Source organism: Homo sapiens, chromosome 17 (assembly GCF_000001405.40).
Source record: "Homo sapiens chromosome 17, GRCh38.p14 Primary Assembly".
Taxonomy (NCBI): Eukaryota; Metazoa; Chordata; class Mammalia; order Primates; family Hominidae; genus Homo; species Homo sapiens.
The window spans coordinates 60,802,524-60,823,123 of NC_000017.11; the positions used below are offsets into that span (position 1 = coordinate 60,802,524).

The window sequence follows — 20,600 nt, forward strand, 5'->3', positions numbered from 1 at the left end:
ATTGTGTTCTTCCTGTGTAGTATTAGATACTTTCCAGATGACTATTAATCCTTGGCTGTTTGCACATGATTGTCAGTGGCAAACTGAAAAGCTAATTGAAAACATTGCATATCTGCTTGTCGACTTTGTTTTTTTGAGATGGAGTTTCACTCTTGTTGCCCAGGCCGGAGTGCAATGGTGCCGTCTGGGCTCACTGCAAACTCTGCCTCCTGGGTTCAAGCGATTCTCCTGCCTCAGCCTCCCGAGTGGCTGGAATTATAGACACCCGGCTAATTTTGTATTTTTAGTAGAGATGGGGTTTCACCACATTGGCCAGGCTGGTCTTGAACTCCTGACCTCCGCCTCGGCCTCCTAAAATGCTGAGATTACAGGCGTGAGCCACTGTGCCCAGTCTATTTGTCGACTTTTAACTTTATTGTGAGGTGCTTTGGTTGTGTTGTTTGTTTGTTGGAACCCTCTGATGGATAGTATATTTTAGTCTTTCCTCTTGGACTTGTTAACATGTCCCAGAAAAGACTTACAAGTGCCCACCTAAAGGATAAGGTTCTGGTGCTAGTGTCCTGGAAGCCCCATGGGAAAGACGACATGAAGGATGATGAAGGGATGTTTCAATATTAAGTATTAATGTTGTCATTTAATCTTCTTCACTTTTTTGTTTTGCATTCACCTTTACCCAGTGTCCTTCTGTCTGTCTCTAGAGAGTAACCTTTCAGCCTTGTGCTGGGAACGGGGAAGATGAGTTGCCTAACAGGGTAAAGGTCTTAGCATCGATGTGTTTTTCAGATAGCCGATATCAAATCTAGTCTTCTTTATTTTAGCTTCATCTCCCATCAAATCTAGTACCTGGTATTATCAGTTATTGTGCCTTTTAAAGATTCTGCGATGTAAAGTAATTTGGGCGTCAGGTTTTTTCCCCCATGCACAACCTTGAACTTTTAAGATTGCTAAGTCAGTCATCAGTCATCTATTTCCAAAATTTCTTGGGGTTATATATTTTTAAAGTACATTTAATTTAATATTTTTTTTCCTAGAATTTTCTGAAGGTATAAAATGAAATTCATGTCTTCAGTCTACCATCTTAACTCAGAAGTTGAAACAACCATTTACTTGTTTCTTCTGGCATTTGCCTTCTTATTTAAAAACAAAGGAAAAATTTTGGGGGAAATTTATATATTCACATGGTTTGAAAATGAAAAAGCACAAAGTATATAATGAAAAGTTTCTTCTATCCTTCATTTTTTTTCATTTTCCCTCTCATAAGTAACTATTACGATTTTTTTTTTTTTTTTTTTTTTGAGACGGAGTTTCACTCTTGTTGCCCAGGCTGGAGTGCAATGGCATGATCTCGGCTCACCACAACCTCTGCTTCCCGGGTTTGAGCGATTCTCCTGCCTCAGCCTCTTGAGTAGCTGGGATTACAGGCATGCACCACCACGCCCGGCTAATTTTTTGTATTTTTAGTAGAGACAGGGTTTCTCCATGTTGGTCAAGCTGGTCTCGAACTCCTGACCTCAGGTGATCTGCCCGCCACGGCCTCCCAAAGTGCTGGGATTACAGGAGTGAGCCACTGCGCCCGGCCACTATTATGATTTTTATATGTCCTCGTGGAGTTCGTATATGTATGTATACATATATGCAGGTCTTTTTTTCTCTTCTTTGTAAAAAAGGTAGTATATTGGCTGGGCGTGGTGGCTCACACCTGTAATCCCAGCACTTTGGGAGGCTGAGGCGGGTGGATCATAAGGTCAGGAGTTCGAGACCAGCCTGGCCAACATGGTGAAACCCCATCTCTACTAAAAATACAAAAAATAGCTGGGCATGGTGGCAGGTGCCTGTAATCCCACCTACTCAGGAGGCTGAGGCAGGAGAATCGTTTGAACCTTGGAGACAGAGGTTGCAGTGTGCCGAGATCATGCCATTGCACTCCAGCCTTGGGGAGACTCCATCTCAAAAGAAAAACAAGAACACACACACAAAAAACAAAAGGTAGTATATTATTCTGTATCTTCCTATGGTTGTATGTATTCCTTTTTTCCACTTTATATCTTCTATCTCATTCCATGTTTTTATAGTGTAATTCGTTGTGTTGTTTTGCAGCGGTAGGAAATATTCTATTGTAACTTGATTTTTTTTCAGTCTTTTGCTATTATAAACAATACTGTTGTGAATAATCTTATATACAAGTTATTTATCTCATGTCTGAGTATATGTGTAGGGTGAACTTGGATTAAGGGGTATTTGTATTTCAATTTTGATTAATGTGAGAAAATTTAATCAAATTTTTGGATTTTTTAAGGAGCTCTTAAATAAGTGTCAATATATGTAGTTAAATTTAGTTATATAGTCCTTTTTATTTTAGCTTCATCTCCTATCACATTTAGTACCTGCTATTGTCAATTATTGTGGCTTTTAAAGATCCTGTGATGTAAACTAATTTGAGTGTCGGGTTTTTTTTTTTCCCCCAAGCACTACCTTGCACTTTTACTTCTGACTGCTGCATCAGTCATCAGTCTGACTTAGCATGCTTAAGTAAATACACACACACACACACACTCACACAATTTTAAAGATATATAGTTATCGTTATATAAATAACATATTTATATGTATATAAATATATGTAGTTAAAAATTTTTAAGTAGAAAATGTCTGACTTATTTAAAGGTAGTGTGAATAGTGCGATGATCCCTAAGGAACCCACCAGTCATCATTTTATGACTATTCTTGTTTCATTAGCATTTATTTCCCTCCCTCTAGATTATTTTGAACCCTTCCTAGATATCATATCAGTTTATTGGTTAACATTCCCTCACTTGTTTCTAAAAGATAAGGTATCTTAAAAATGTAACCACAGTATTGTAGGGGAGGAAAACTTCTCTGACCTCTCAGGGTCTCTGGGTGGGCCAAAAAATTAAACTGACATAAGATAAATTAACAGGAGAAAAGCATACAAATTTTTATTTCATAAAATTTACATGTGCATGTGTGTCCGAACAGGGAAATGAAGACTTAAGGAAGTGGCGGCTGGGCGCGGTGGCTCACGCCTGTAATCCCAGCACTTTGGGAGGCCGAGGCAGGAGGACTGCTTGAACTCAGGAGTTCAAGATCAGCCTGGGCAACACGGTGAAACCCCGGCTCTACTAAAATACAAAAAATTAGCCGGACATGGTGGCGGGCACCTGTAATCCCAGCTACTTGGAAGGCTGAGGCAGGAGAATAGCTCGAACCTGGGAGGCGGAGGTTGCAGCGAGCCCAGATCTGCCATGGCACTCCAGCCTGGGTGACAGAGTGAGACTCCATCTGTAAAAAAAAAAGAGAAGTGACTCAGCCTAAGTTTTTTTTTTTTTTTTTTTGAGACGGAGCCTTGCTCTGTCCCTCAGGATGGAGTGCTGGCGTTGGCATGATCTTGGCTCACTGTAACCTCTGCCTCCTGGGTTCAAGCTAGTCTGCCTCAGCCTCCCAAGTAGCTGGGATTACAGCGCCTGCCTCCATGCTCGCGCTAATTTTTATATTTTTGTATTTTTTTTTTTTAAACTAGAGATGGGGTTTCACCATGTTGGCCAGGCTGGTCTCGCATCCTGACCTCAGGTGATCCACCCGCCTCGGCCTCCCAAAGTGCTGGGATTACAGGCGTGAGCCACTGTGCCCGGCTTCGGCCTAAATTATTACATGCTAGGTTGAACAAAGAATGACATTTATGGAAAGGTATCTGGGAAGATAAGGGCTAGTTTAACAATGTTCATTTATACAGATTTCTTTCATCCTTGCCTTCACATCTCTGGTGATTAAAATGTTTCTTCTTGGTATGTAGGAAGGTCATCTTTCACTTGGGGGCTTCCTTTCAGGAATCAAAGAGCCGGTCAGCGTGTCTTTCTTACATCTGCTGTTTTTCAAATGCTTTTAGCCCAAATAATCAATATGCCAAAGAGGCATATTTTGGAGTGGTTTGTCCTGAGCTCCTTAATATCATTATCAATATAGTTTTAAGGAATTTCTGTCATGTGTGAGGTTGAGCATTTTTTCTTCTTAATCTTTTTTTTTTTTTTGAGACTGATTCTTGCTCTGTCATCCAGGCTGGAATGCAGTGGCACAATTATAGCTCACTGCAGCCCCCAACTCTGGGGGCTCAGAGGGTCCTCCTACTTCAGCCTCCTGAGTAGCTAGGGCTACAGGAGTGTGCCACCATACCCAACTAATTTTTTGTTTTTATTGTTTGTAGATACAGAGTTTTGCCCTGTCTCAAGTGATCCTCCTGCCTCCGCCTCCCAAAGTGTTGAGAGTACAGGCGTGAGCAGGCACAGAGCACCTTTTCATATGATTCAGAACCATTTATATTTCCTGACTTTACTTTTTTTGCTTCTTGTTCATATTATATTGGTTTTGTATCCTGTAATATTGTTGAGTTCACTTACTATTATTATGTGGACTTAGGACTTGATGGGAGCAGCAACTCTGGATATTCTTGTATTATTATTGCTGTTAATAGGAATACTCTGAACCATTACCTGTGACATTTGCTGTAGATCTTTTGTAGATGATCATTATTAGGTTAAAAAAGATATTTTTGTTATTTTTTTTTGTTCATATGATTAGGTATAGAGTCTAATTGAATGCTTTTTCTGCATCTGCTGAAATATTAATATCATTAATTACATTAATAGATTTTATACTGCCAAACTATTACTGTTGCTTAGGTAAATCTAATTCAGTTATGAGAGTTTATTTTTTTCATATATGTTGCTATTTAATTTGCTGATATTTTGTTTAGGATTTTTGCAACTATGTATATCAATGGGAATGACCTATAGTTTTATAATTTTCTTGTCTTGAACTACCTTTATTTAGTTTCGACATCAATATTATTACTAGTTTTAGGTAATTAGTTGGTGGGGTATGGGATGGTTTTCTGATCTCATGGGGAAGGTGTATAAGATTGAAATTGGTGCCAATTGAAACTTAAAAAAAATGCCAGTTCAGGCTGGCCATTGTGGCTCTCGCCTGTAATCCCAGCACTTTGGGAGGTTGAGGCGGGTGGATCACTTGAGGTCAGGAGTGTGAGACCAGGCTGACCAACATGGCGAAACCCTGTCTCTACTAAAAATACAAAAATTAGCCGGGCATGGTGGTACGTGCCTGTAGTCCCAGCTACTCAGAAGGCTGAGGCAGGAGAATTGTTTGAACCCGGGAGGCAGAGGTTGCAGTGAGCTGCGATCGTGCCACTGCACTCCAGCCTGGGTGACAGAGCGAGACTCTGTCTCAAAAAAAAAAAAAAAATGCTGGTTCAGTTTTTAAAATGATTACATATATATAATATATGATGATTTTATATAGTAGCTTTTCTTCTTTTTATTCAATTGTATAAATTATGTCAACTTATAATGAATACTTCTCCTTTTCAAGTATTTTGAAAGCATGAAAATAGTGGGAATTATACAATAATATTCCTCAAAGCTTACAATTTATTTTATCCTTCCTGTCAGGTGCTCAAAAATGTGATAACTTTGCTGAAAAAAGACCCCTCCTTGGTGTTTGTAAGAGCATTGGATCTTCTGGGTAAGGAAATTTTAAAAATTCTTTGTATCACCTATTACAAATTTATATTATTCCAGAGGGAGAACTTTGATGTTATAAAACCTTTGTAACCATAAGACTAAGCTCTCATAAGAGAGAAGAAGAAGAAAGTAAAACATATTTAGGGTTTCCAACAGTAAATGACATTTATTGATGCTATAGCATGTGCCTGACACTGTTCTAAAGGTGTTGTGTGAATTTTCTTTTTTATTTATTACCACAATACTGTGAACAAATACAAATATCTTTCCAGTTAGTGCATTCCCTCAAATTGAACTTCTGGCTGCAAGGAAAGCTAGGAATGATTATGGTTTTGTTAGTAAGGAAAATTATCAAAATGGATATTAGGTTGGCTACTAGCAGTCTTGGCCTCATGCTTTCAGTAAATAGTGTGCACTTCAGATCATGTGGCATTGGAGAAAGGAAGAACATGTTAATAATATAACATGGTTAGGTCATGGAGTCTTGATTATTGTTTCCTAATGGTACTGTTTGACTTCATAGGCTACAAGACAAATTTCTTCAAGTGTAAATTTTTCGATTGAAGAAGACATAAAGCCTTTGAGAATTTACTGTATACTCAGCACTTTGCCGGGTGTAGGATAAGGATACAAAATCATGAAAGCCTAATTTCTTTCCCCAGAGACTTATGAATGTGGCTGAAAAGAAAAAGTACAACACATGCAAAATAATTATGAAATAATGATGTATGACAGGAATGCAGAGAAGGGAGAGATCAGTGTGCATGAATTAATGAGAAAAAGCCTCATGGAGAAGGAGCAGCATAGGTTAGATCTTAAGGAATGGGAAATATTGCAGCAGATGAGAAGGACTGCCAGGGTAGGTTATAATATAGTAGTGGAAGAGAAACTGAAATAAATACATTTAAGAATGGTAAGAGTTTGTGGGCCAGGCATGGTGACTCACGCCTGTAATCCCAGCACTTTGGGAGGCTGAGGCAGGCAGATCACTTGAGGTCAGGAGATTGAGACCAGCCTTGCCAACAAGGTGAAACCCTGTCTCTACTAAAAATACAAAAATTAGCCCAGTGTGGTGGCATGTGCCTATAACCCCAACTACCCGGAAGGCTGAGGCACGAGAATTGCTTGAACCTGGGAGGCAGAGGTTGCAGTGCACCACTGTACTCCAGCCTGGGCAACAGTGAGACTCTGTCTCAAAAAAAAAAAAAAAAAGAGAGAGTTTGTGACTTAGATTTAATGCCATCTGCAAAACAGATGAAAACAACTATTGCAGTACTCTGAAACTCAACCAAAAGCATATAATAATCTGAAAAGTGTTTAAGCTTGAGAAACTGCTAATCTTTGCACAATAACAGTGGGAATCTGTGGCATTCATGCCTGCAGCTGCTCCTGTCCCACTCCACACTTTCCCTCTTCCAGGGTTGGTTGGTTGGTTGGTTGGTTATAGAGTGTCTTCCAGGGTGAGAAAGGTTTTGAGGACTAGTACCTTACCTGCTGTGCTTGGAAAATTTTCGCTCATCTCTGAGTGGCAGGTATTGCATATGCCTGCCAGCATTATCTGCAGAAATTACTGTCTTGATGACATGTGTGCTTTGAGAGCCATTGGCTCTTTCAGCCTAAGATAATGGTTAGCTGAGGCTTCATGCATATGCAGAGGAGCCATGAAAAAGGGTCCAGGGGGAAGAAAAATCTGAATAGATGTGCAGATCCTTTGGCAAAGGAAAACAACTTTTGTTGACCTGGGGTATTTGAGTGAATCCTCTGTTGAGTAGTTGGCTGCCCACTAAGATACATAGATGCATGGCCAGACCCTGAAAGTCAGGCTTTAAAGTAATGCAAGAATAAAAGAAATAATAAAACTGAACAGAGAAATCAGCAACTGCAAATTGTGGAAGAAGACAGATTTCATAGAATCCAGAGTAATGTTATACTGTATTATATAAAATGTCTATTTTTAAATATAAAATTATGACACATGCCAAGAAACAGGAAGTTGTGGCAGTGAGAAAAAGGCAGACAATAGAAATCATACCTGACTGGTCTTCAGAAAAGCCTGAGTCCTGTCCTCTCACTCTCCCCACTGGACAGCATGAGCTTCACCACTTGCTCCACGTTCTCCACCAAACTACCAGTCTCTGGGCTCTGTGCAGGTGCCCAGCTATGGCACCCAGCCAGTCAGCAGTGTGGCCAGTGTCTGTGCAGGCACCAGGGGCTCTGGTTCCCGGATCTCCGTGTCCCACTCCACCAACTTCTGGGGTGGCATGGGGTCCAGGGGCCTGGTTGTGGGGATGGCGGGGGGTCTGGCAGGACTGAGAGGCATCCAGAATGAGAAAGAGACCATGCAAAGCCTGGACGATTGCCTGGCCTCCTGCCTGGACAGAGCAAGGAGCGTGGAGACCGGAAACCAGAAGCTGGAGAGCAAAACCCAGGAGCACCTGGAGAAGAAGGGACCCCAGGTCAGAGACTGGAGCCATTACTTCAAGACCATCGAGGACCTGAGGGCTCAGATCTTCCCAAATACTGTGGACAGTGCCTGCATCGTTCTGCAAATCAACAGTGCCTGTGTTGCTGCTGATGACTTTAGAGTCAAGTATGAGACAGAGCTGGCCATGCCCTAGTCTGTGGAGAGGGACATCCATGGGCTCTGCAAGGTCACTGATGACACCAATGTCACTCAGCTTCAGCTGGAGACAGAGATCAAGGCTCTCAAGGAGGAGCTGCTCTTCCTGAAGAAAAACCTCGAAGAGGAAGTAAAAGTCCTACAAGCCCAGACTGCCAGCTCTGGGTTGACCATGGAGGTAGATGCCCCCAAATCTCAGGATCTCACCAAGATCATGGCAGACATCTGGGCCCAATATGACGAACTGGCTCAGAAGAACCAAGAGGAGCTGGACAAGTACTAGTCTCAGCAGATTGAAGAGAGCACCACAGTGGTCACCATGCAGTCTGCCGAGGTTGGAGCTGCTGCGTTGATTCTCATGGAGCTGAGACGTACAGTCCAGTTCTTGGATATTGACCTGGACTGCATGAGAAATCTGAAGGCCAGCTTGCAGAACAGCCTGAGGGAGGTGGAGGCCCACTACACCCTGCAGATGGGGCAGATCCTGTAGACTGGATCCTGCTGCACCTAGAGTCAGAGCTGGCACAGACCCTGCAGAGGGACAGCGCCAGGCCCAGGAGTAGGAGGCCCTGCTGAACATCAAGGTCAAGCTGGAGACTGAGATCACCACCTACTGTCACCTGCTGGAAGATGGTGAGGACTTCAGTCTTGGTGATACCCCAGACAGCAGCAACTCCAGGCAAACCATCCAGAAGACCACCTCTCCCAGGATAGTGGATGGCAAAGTGGTGTCTGAGACCAGCGACATCAAAGTTCTGAGACATTAAGCCAGCAGAAGCAGTGTACCCTTTGGGGAGCCAGGAGGCCAATGAAAAGTTCAGAGGTAAAAAAAAAAAAGAAAAAAGAAATCTTATGTGGTTGTCTCCAGATGTTAAATTTTACAAAGATTTTAAAGCAGCTATTATAAATGTGTTCTAAGAACTAAATGAACTATGTATAAAGAATTAAAGGAAAGGGTTATAGCAATAACTCAACAAATAGATAATCTCAACAAGGAGTTAGAATTTATATAAAACTCAAATGGAACTTCTGCTGTTGAAAGGATATAAAAGATATAGAAAGTGAAATAGGCCTGGATGCAGTGGCTCATGCCTATAATCCCAGCACTTTGGGAGGCCAAGGCCAGCGGATCGCTTGAGCTCAGAAGTTCAAGAGCAGCCTGGGCAACATGGTGAAACCCTGTCTCTACCAAAAAAAATACAAAAAAATTAGCTGGGCATGATGGCACACGCCTGTGGTCCCAGCTACTTGGGAGGCTGAGGTGGGAGGATTGCTTGAGCCTGGGAGGCAGAGGTTGCAGTGAGCCCAGATCTCACCACTGCACTCCAGCCTGGGTGACAGAGTGAGACCCAGTCTCAAAAAAAAAAAAAAAGTTCATAAGTTGTTTTCATAAGTTGTTTTATGGATGTAGACCTAATATGTCTTGTTGTTAAGTTTTTGTCTAAATGTTTGTAGTAGGTGAGCATATGGTGATGTTGAATAGAGTAGACTCTTTAGTAGCTACTGTTGGGGAGGAATACTTTTCTCTCTTAAATTCTTTGGGGAGAGGGCTGCAATTTAAACTGACGAAAGGCAGATTAGCAAGAGGACAAAAAATCAGATTTAATTACATATGTACATATAGGAGTTTGCAAAAAAATGTGACTTAAGGTGGCTTATATATCATCTCAGTAGGAGATGGGGATGGAGAGGGACACAATTTGTAGAAGGGCACATTTTGTAGAACAAATGACTTCTTAGAATGGGAGCAGAAGGAAGGGCACTTGTGACTTTTTGGAAAATTAAGGTGGTCCTTAGGAGAAAAGACAGGAGATGTGATAGTTTTGTAACAATATCTGTTTGGGAGTGGTCCTAGAAGAGATTAAGTTGCTCCAGGGGAGGAGATTTATGACAAATGAAGTTTTTTGGAGGGCTCTGCTCTGCTTTTAGGTAGATAAAGTATACTAGGAACTTGAGTGCTATCAACAATCCATGAGTCAATACATACATACATACATACATATATACATATGTACAGTTGAGTTTATGACAATTAAGTTTGTGTGTTCATTTATTTATTTTAGAGACAGAGTCTCCCTCGGTCACCCAGGCCCAGGTGCAGTGGTCCAATCATAGCTCACTATAATCTGGAACTCCTGGGCTCAAGAGATCCTCCCATCTCAGCCTCCTGAGTAGCTGGGACTATAAGTTATGCCACTGTTGGGCTAATTAAAAAAAATTTCTTTTTTTAAGAGATAAGTTCCCACGATGTTACCCAGGCTGGTCTTGAACTCCTGGCTTCAAGCAATCCTCCTATCCCAGCCTGCCAAAATGTTGCAATTACAAGTATGAGCCACCACATCTGGTCCAATCATATTATTCTTATTTTATGCATGCAGAAGCTAATAGAGGTTCAGTCACACAGTTAGTCATGGACCCAGGCTTTTGCTTGACCCTCAAGCTATGTTCTTTCCAGTAACCATACTGTTTGTCATTATGGAGGGCATTCCTCTATACATACACAGGCATATTCCGTCTATAGACTGTATTAAGAGTGCCCTAACCTCAGATTTATATATTTACAATTTTCTGACCAGTTATTTTCAGAGGTAACAAAGATTTCTTAAAAAAAAAAAAAGGAGGTTATGTTAGGAGCAATTAAGCAATTTGTTTATCCCTGCCAGAGTACCTAGGACTACAGGTGTATGCCACCTTGCCTGGCTAATCTTTGTATGTCTTCTTTTGAGAAGTGTCTGTTAATGTCTTTTGCCCACTTTTTAATGGCATTGTTTTTTGCTTGTTGAATTGTTTAAATTCGTTATAGATTCTGGATATTAGATATTTGTTGGGTGCATAGTTAGTGAATATTTGTGAATCTATAAATATTCACAAAAAATATTCACTACAGATATTCACAAACTGTGCATCCAACAAAGGTCTGTAGATTGTTTGCTCTGTTGATAGTCTCTTTTGCTGTGCAGAAGCTCTTTAATTAGTTCCCAATTGTCGATTTTGTTTTTGTTGCAATTGCTTTTGAGGACTTTGCCAAGGCCAGTGTCCAGAATGGTATTTCCTAGGTTTTCTTCTAGGATTTTTATAGTTTAGGGAGTCCTTTCCCCATTGCTTGTCATTGTCGACTTTGTTGAAGATTAGATGGTTGTAGATATATGCAGCTTTATTTCTGGGTTCTCTTTTCTGTTCCATTGGTCTCTGTATCTGTTTTTGTGCTGGCACCATGCTGTTTTGGTTACTGTAGCCTTATAGTATAGTTTGAAGTCAGGTAATATAATGTCTCAGCTTTGTTCTTTTTGCCTGGGATTGCTTTGGCTTTTCAGGCTCTTTTTTGTTCTATATGAATTTTAGAGTAGTTGTTTTTCTAATTTTGAGAAAAGTGACATTGGTAGTTTGATAGGAATAGTATTAAATCTATAGATTGCTTTGGGTAGTTTGACCATTTTAACAATATTTATTCTTCCAATCCATGAGCATAGAATGTTTTTCCATTTGTTTGTATCATCTCTGCTTTCTTTCAGCATTGTCTTGTAGTTCTCCTTATATCTTTAACCTTGTTCATTAGATGTATTTCTTGGTATTTTGTGTGTGTGTGTGTGTGTGTGTGTGTGTGTGTGTGTGCGCGCGTGCCCATTGCAAATGGGATTGCATTCTTGATTTAGCTCTCAGTTTGGACGTTATTTGTATATAGAAATGTTACTGATTTTACTACCTTTATTTTTTTTTATCCTGAAACTTACTGAAATTTTTTATTAGTTCTAGAAGCCTTTTGGTGGAGTCTTTCGGGTCTTCTAGGTATATAATCATATTGCCAGTGAAGAGAGATAATTTGGCTTTTTTCTTTTTTCCTATTTGAATGCCTTTTATTTCTTTCTCTTGCCTGATTGCTCTGGCAAACAGTAGCTTCTTAAGAGAGTCTTTGTGTTAGGCGTATATTTTGATGCAGTGTTTCTGCATAAGCAAAAGATACTTTTGTTATTTTAGTACGTTTGACGTATACCATTTAGTTACTTAGAATTTTTCAGTGTGGAAAAGGACTTCTCCAATTTTATTTTAGTATTTTTTTCTTCATTTAAACACATTGTTTAATGAATTCAAAGGAAGTCTCCTTTACATGATAGCAATAATATAAGAAGGACATGGCTATTAGAAAATTGTGGTCACTAATTTCAGGAACACTATTATTTAAAAGTCCTGTGCCTTCTAGATTCCTCAAGGATCTAGAACTAGAAATACCATTTGATCCAGCCATCCCATTACTGGATATATACCCAAAGGATTATAAATCATGCTGCTATAAAGACACATGCACGTTTATTGCAGCACTATTTACAATAGCAAATACTTGGAACTAACCCAAATGTCCATCAATGATAGACTGGATTAAGAAAATGTGGCACATATACACCATGGAATACTATGCAGCCATAAAAAAGGATGAGTTCATGTCCTTTGTAGGGACATGGATGAAGCTGGAAACCATCATTCTCAGCAAACTGTTGCAAGGACAAAAAACCAAACACTGCATGTTCTCACTCATAGGTGGGAATTGAACAATGAGAACACTTGGACACAGGAAGGGGAACATCACACACCGGGGCCTGTCATGGGGTTGGGGGAGGGGAGAGGAATAGCATTAGGAGATATACCTAATATAAATGACGAGTTAATGGGTGCAGCACACTAACATGGCGCGTGTATACGTATGTAACAAGCCTGCACGTTGTGCACATGTACCCTAGAACTTAAAGTGTAATAATAAAAAAAAAGGAAAAAAAAAAGTCCAGTGCCAACTTATGTCCAATACAAAGTAATTTCAAGAATGGGCAGATTCCTTCACCTGCTTCCAGTTTTTTAAATAAAGTAACAAAAAACAGCAGGCAACTGATGATGTAGAACAGAAGATGTAATGCTTCCAAAATAATTTAAGTTAATGAGACTCAGTTTATAGGCATAAATATAGGTGATACGAGGAACCATTCAGGGAGCCAATGAAGTCTGAAATAATGGAAAGAGTAGGAGAATACATAGTTACAAGACAGCAAATAGAATAGTGACTGCATCAAATGGAGATGGAGAAAGCCACACATAATCATGAAGTGTCTGCTTAGAGACATTCTTCAGTTTCACATGTACCTTGAGAATGTTTTCTTTATCTTGCCCATCTTTATTTCTTTCTTGGTATTAAGCGCAGTGCCCTATATCTAGGAGACCCTCGAATATATATATATTTTGCCTAAGTGAATTTTAGGAAGCTTCCTATACGAGTAGTTATACTCATCCTTTATTTTTTAGTATCACTTTTTTATGACTGAGAATATCTCTTAATCTAAGGAATCATATGTACTGTACCTGGGTATTTACATTTTCGTAGCCAGTTGGGTACAAAACCTTAGGACATCCCTCCATTTGGAGAGGAGTGGGATGTCCAGGTTGCTCTCCAGCTCCCTGGCACATACTTTATTGAACACCCATGTAGTTTAGACTTTGTCAAGTTGCTTATATTCACAACTAATACTGCCTATTAAATTATTCTTGGGAAAATTCACTAAGATTTTCTTTTGATGTATAACTTTTCTTTCTTTTTCTTTTCTTTTTTTTTTTTTTGAGACGGAGTCTTGCTCTGTCGCCAGACTGGAGTGCAGTGGCGTGATCTCAGCTCACGGCAACCTCCACCTCCCGGGTTCAAGCGATTCTCCTGCCTCAGCCTCCCTAGTAGCTGGGACTACAGGTGTGCACCACCACGCCCAGCTAATTTTTGTATTTTTAGTAGAGATGGGGTTTCACCATTTTGGCCAGGATGGTCCCGATCTCCTGACCTCGTGATCCGCCCGCCTCGGCCCCCCAAAATGCTGGGATTACAGGCGTGCACTACCGCGGCTGGCCAGCTTTTCATTTTTATAAATTCATAGTGCCTTTTCTAAGAAGAGGGGAATTGCTATGGAAAGTGTCAGTCAAAGTCAAAATAAAAATACAGAGATGAATCTCTATGCAAAACATTTTATTTGAGAATGTACATAAAACAGAATTGCAATTTGGGGCCACATACACAGTTTGGGGTGGTTTTGTTATGTCTGAAGAACAAAGAAAAGCTTGGGAAATTAGAGAAATGCAACATATTGTTTTAGAAGAAAGCTCATTGGCGCTAGAGTGACAATGGTGGAGTTATGCCGGTTCGTTTCAGCAGTTACTAGTTATAACTGATCTTAGGGTTATAGCAGGCAGTTTCAGCAGCTGGGCTTTACGGCTAATTTTTGGAGCAGGTGCTATGTGCCCCAAGTGCTTTCCCCCACTGGCCCCTCAACTCTGATTTAGTTGGGTAAGACAAAAATGACCCAATTTGCATAATTAGCTCTCACCAAATAATCCCAGTTGTTCATATTTTATCCTTTAGTAATAAATACATTGCCCCAGCCCAAAATTTAACATACTCTCTCTTACTGCATTGATGACAGTCATTAAAATGCCATTTATTTAGGTATTCTAGTGTTTTGTTTCGTTGTGTTTTGAGAGATCATACCATAATAATTCCAGATAAGTCATTTAAGCTCTTGGAAAGGGATAATGTTTATTGTGCCACTGATCCAGAAACTAAGGCAGTGTCTTGTGTAATAATGTGAGAGAGGGAGGAAACCAAAGTTTATTGTGTGTTATATGCTAAACAGTTCCCAGAATGTAGCTATTTATGGTTAGGATCTTGTTGGCTACTATGAGTAATAGCAAATGAGTAACATTATTCAAGAGCTGACTGCAGACCTTGAAGAATGTTTAATCCAATATATTATGATCACATTACACACATTACGTGAAAATATGACCTTTATGTAGAGAGAATCATAGACTATTGGAAGTGGAAAGAACCTTGTAGATTATGTCATTTAACTGCCTTGTGTTGTAGATGAAGAAAAGAGGTTAAATGTTTGTCCAGAGGCTCCCATCACGCATCACTGTGGTGGGAAAAAATTCTTGTAAGAGTGAGTGAAAATTTCTTCATCTCAGTTGGTTAGGAATCCCTTATCGCTCGTTATATAGGCTTTCTATGGCCATTGTTTCCAAGACTGGATTTTAAGAATCAGAAAAATTAGTCTTTTGCCAAGCAAGAACATATGAAAAAATTATAATTGACTATCAGTTAATACTTTAAATTTACTTTGAGAAAAGCAAAATAATTTTTTTTTTTTTTTTTGAGGCAGAGTCTCACTCTGTCACCCAGGCTGGAGTGCAGTGGCGTGATCTTGGCTCACTGCAACCTCCACGTCCTGGGTTCAAGAAATTCTCCTGCCACAGCCTCCCAGGTAGCTAGTTCTACAGACATGCGCCACCATGCCCTGCTAATTTTTGTAATTTTAGTAGAGATAGGGTTTCCCCATGTTGGCCAGGCTGGTCTTGAACTCCTGGGCTCAAGTGATCCATCCGCCTTGGCCTCCCAAGGTGCTGGGATTACAGATGTGAGCCATTGCACCCAGCTGAGAAAAGCAAAATAATCTTAATAGCTAAATAGGAGGAATGACTTAATTTCAAAATTGACTGTTTATTAAATAGAATACAGTTAATTCACAATATTAATATTTTCCTCTCATTATTACAAACTGGCAAAAGCATCATCTTGGATTGGCAGAAGTTCATGGAGTGGTATGTGGAAACCAGTTTCCTAAAGCTGCAGTTATTAGGTGGAGGTGAAGCGCAGTGTCACCATCCTGAAGTGGTACTGCAGTGACTTTATTTCAACGTTTGTCTAATGTAAATAAGGGTTATGTTATTAAATAATTAGAAGTAGAAGCATATTGCTTGGGATAGTCGGTATGTGACTCTTCTTTTTGTCATGAAAAATCCCAGAGCCCTTATATATGATACCTGATGCTTTCAATTTTGACTGATTTTTGTCAGTTGTGTTTGCGAGTTCTGACCGATATTATCTCCATAGGCAGCAAAGTAGATTTATGCCGTTTTCCCAGTCTTTGCTGCTTGTAGACATGGACTCTTCCAGCAGTTCCTTGGCACCAAATCCAGACACCAAGTCTTTCATTTGCCCATCTCTCTGGCATTTTTCAGGCTTTCTGTGGGTACCTGGGTTTTCTTCTAGCTCTCTGCCATGGCTCTGTGGCTGTCTTTACTGCTCAAAGAAAGAGCTTTACATCTTAGGTATACCGTTTATGCTGACAGCTGCCGCACTGGCATAGAGACGTTTTTAATGGGATGGGTTAGCATACCAGGTGATCCAATAACGTAGATGATCTATGGGGCTCTGGGCTTTAGTATTAACTTAGAACCACGAAGACCTCAGTGCATGCTAGATATGATCTCTGTTTATCTGATTATGGATGTAGGAAATCTTAGGGAAATAAGATGACTTTACTGTTACTTCTATTTAATTACTCTTTCTCATGTGGCTTAGGGATGTTTTTTATAATATGTCTTAAAATGTTAACATTGTCTTTGATAAACAGGAGTCACTAGTATAAATGCTAATTGTGTACATTTTTCATGACCCCAGTTCACTTAATTACTTAAAGCAAATTTTTAGTTTTTGTTTGGTGATAAGGCAAAGGGCCCGGAACATTACACACCTGACTGACACTTAATACAATTTTAAAACACATGCTGAACAAATCTCAGTGGGAGGTTAAGAGTAGTCTGTCAGTGTCAAGGAATACACATATTACATTGTAAAATTGTAACCATGGGCTAGTTGTTTATATATTTATTTTAAACTATAATATTTAAACTATGGACACATCTAAAGACTGTGTGAGATTATATTTCAGACTTTGTATATTTTCTTGTGATATTGAAATTGGTACAGATCTCAAATGGTTTACCAAAATGGTTATTTGCAGGTGACCAAACCAAAGGAATGCTGGTTTAATTTCTTACAGAATTGCTTTACTTGCTGTTTGATATGTGTATTCCTGAAAATCTGTGCTGTTAGGGCCCTTGCTGGAAACAGATAGCATACTCAAATTGGGTGATTCAAAGAGAGTTTAAATAAAATAACACATGTGGGAGCTGAGACTCATTATCCTTCCTCCCTTCCCCTCCCCTTCTCTTCCCTCCTACCCTCCCCCTCTCCTTCCTTTCTTCCTCACTCTCTTTCTGAGACAGGATCTTACTCTGTAACCCAGACTGAAGGCAATGGCTTGATCCTAGCTCACTGTAGCCTCAAACTCATGGAATCAAACAGTCCTCACACCTCAGCCTCCTTAATAGCTAGGACTACAGGCGTGAGCCACCATGCCTGGTTTATTATCATTTCTAAGCAAGAGGAGATAACCCTTAGTAAAGCCTGCAGAGAAAGCGATATGAAGAGGGTTAGCAACAGGAACTGTGGCCTCTGGTGGATGGATTTAGCCTATCTTCAGTAACCTGACAGTGGGACATCTTTTTTTCTTTTTTTTTTTTTCTGAGGCAGAGTCTCGTTCTGTTGCCCAGGCTGGAGTGCAGTCGCACGATCTTGGCTCACTGCAAGCTCTGCCTCCCGGGTTCATGCCATTCTGCCTCAGCCTCCCGAGTAGCTGGGACTACAGGCACCCGCCACCACGCCCGGCTAATTTTTTGTATTTTTAGTAGCCAGGATGGTCTTGATCTCCTGACCTTGTGATCTGCCCGCCTTGGCCTCCCAAAGTGCTGGGATTACAGGCGTGAGCCACCGTGCCCAGCCGACGGTGGGGCATCTTATTTCTCCAGAGGCTTCCTATGGGGTCATCCCAGTCAGAAACTAGGGGCTGGATTCTGAAGGTCCAGAGAGCCCACTGATGCAATTCATAGGATATGGCTCAGTCTCCCAAGGCAAGGAACAAGATATAGAGAATGCAGTGTGTATTTGGAGGGGCAGTACACTTCATTCTACAAAATTTCACACTAAAATGGATAGAAATAGGCTTGGTGAAAATGTATGCAACATTGTTTTCAGAACAATAATTTGAATACAAAATTAGAACATTTAAAAGTTGTTTTAATGCTAATTAAAAAAATTTAAAAAGTAAAAGATTTTACCTAAAAAAAGACAAAGATGCCCTGATGGAATGGGGGTATAAGAAAGAGTTGAGACTGTTACGTTATGGAGAAAAGAACAAAATGGACAAAGACCAGGGAGTAACACTCTTTAAGCACTTTCAAACCAGAGGACATGGTTAAACTGAGCCATGAAAAACATGATTTCTCCTGGTTTTCTACATTCAGTTGATCTAATGTACTTTGTATTCAGTTGCTGTTAAATTATAGTACAAAAAAGTAAAATGGTATGAATTTTATTTATTAATAAAACTAACTTTTTTTTTGAGACGGAGTTTTGCTCTTGTCGCCCAGGCTGGAGGGCAGTGGCACAATCTCGGCTCACTGCAACCTCCGCCTCCCGGGTTCAAGTGATTCTCCTGCCTCAGCCTCCCAAGTAGCTGGGATTACAGGTGCTTGCCATCATGCCTGGCTAATATTTGTATTTTTAGTAGAGATGGGGTTTCACCATGTTGGCCAGGATGGTCTTGAACTCCTGACCTCAGGTGATCCACCTGCCTCAGCCTTCTAAAGCGCTGGGATTACAGGCATGCGCCACCTCACCTGGCCATAATACAACTTCTTTGATGTACTGACATTATTTCTCATTGAGAATCATAATTGTAGCAGGAAAGACTGCAGTGTGTGAGGTCATACATACATACATACATACATTTAATTATTGTATAATTGAAATTCAATGAACTATACATATTTAAAGTGTATAATATTATGTGTTTGATGTGTATATACCTTTGAAACTCTTTCTACAAACAAGACAATGAACATCTTATTCCCCAAAGTTTCCTCATGTCTCTTTGTAATTCTTCCTTTGGCCCCTCCCAGCTCTTTTCTTCAAGATAACCAATGTTCTACTTTCTGTTACTATAGATTAGTTTGCGTTTTCTAAAGTTTTATATAAGTGGAATCATATAGTATGTACTCTTTTTTTGTCTAGCTTTGGTTACTCAGCGTATTTATTTTGAGATTCAGCCATGATATTACATGTATCAATAGTTTTTTTTTTGTGACAGAGACTCCTTCTGTCACCCAGGCTGGAGTACTGTGGTGCAATCTCGGCTCACTGCAACCTCTGCCTCCTGGGCCCAAACGATCCTCCCACTGGGGAGCTGGGACTATAGGTGAGCCCTACTGTGCCTCACTAATTTTTGTGTTTTTTGTAGAAACAGGGTTTTACTATGTTGCCCAGGCTGGTCTTAAACTCCTGAGCTCATGTAATCCACCTGCTTTGGCCTGCCAAAGTAGTACATTCATTTTTATTGTGAAATATTATTATATTGGATTAGTTTACTAGAGTATGATTATGCTCTCATCTGTTGATGGATATTTTGGTTGTTTTTAGGTTTTGGCCTTTACAAATAATGCTGCTATGAACATTGTATTCAAGTCCGTATAGACATACATATTTCCTTTTCTCTTGACCAGATACCTACAAGTAGAATGGTTAGATCACATGTTAGATGCATGCTTTTCAAAGTGGTTGTACAATTTTACATCTACAAGTGGTGTATGAAATTTCCAGTTTTTCTGCCACTTGAGAAACACTTGACATTGTCAGTCTATTTTATTAAGTCTTTTTTATTTTAGCTATTTTAATAAATATGCAGTGGTGTGTCATTATGGCATTAATTTGGATTTTTACAAGTTGTTCTTCATTTTCAATCCTTAATTCAGTTACCTCTTCATTCATATCTCCCTGTTATTTGGCCATTTTGAGTTTGTGAATTTCTCGTTTATAATATTGTTTACCTGCAATTGCTACAGACTTACCTCACGTAAGCTCTTGAAAAGCTATACCTATGCTACTTTACATACACTTTTTTTCTGGCATAACAGTTTTTGCACAAAACACAGTTTTCAATAAATATAAGTTAAGAAGTAATATTTCTATGTATAATTTCAGGCAGAGACACTATTGCCAGTTTAGTCAAAACAACAGTCTCTAGTCAAAGAATATTGTATCAAACTACTTTGAAATGTACAGTTTCCAATTACTGCAGAAGTCCCTTTTAAGGAATTGCACTTCCAGGTCAGACCTATCAGTGTTCTTGCGGTGTCCCCTCTCACTTGAATCTGAGCTTCTTTGTGAGACTTGCTTTAACCAATAACATGTCAGTAGACATACCAGAAATGCAAGCTTGATAAATGTTTTTATATTGGGATTTACTCTGTGAAACCACCATAGTCATTATCATATGTGGGTGAAATACCACATGGAGAAAGAGACCCAACCATCCTTACTCTCTCAACTTGCAGCCAACTCAGAAGTAGAAAATAGCTATATGAATGAGCCCAGGAGAGAAAATAGCAGAAGAACAACCCATCTAATTCACAAAATCTGAGAAATAAAGTGATTATTCACTTGAGCCAGTATGGTTTCTAGTGGTTTCTCATACAGCAATAGATACATGAACCATAGTAACCAT

At 39.9% G+C, this 20,600-nt stretch overlaps 1 protein-coding gene and 1 pseudogene across 8 annotated transcripts in view; both read left to right on the forward strand.

Annotated features, from left to right (window-relative positions):
• Positions 1-20,600, forward strand: part of BCAS3 (BCAS3 microtubule associated cell migration factor) — a 714,981-nt gene that overhangs the window by 124,673 nt on the left and 569,708 nt on the right. For all 8 annotated transcript variants that reach the window (NM_001353144.2, NM_001353145.2, NM_001330413.2 and 5 more), the window contains exon 7: positions 5,481-5,553. In NM_001353144.2, coding sequence (NP_001340073.1) covers positions 5,481-5,553 — 73 coding nt within the window. The remainder of the gene's footprint in view (positions 1-5,480; positions 5,554-20,600) is intronic.
• KRT18P61 (keratin 18 pseudogene 61) lies at positions 7,592-8,995 on the forward strand (annotated as a pseudogene).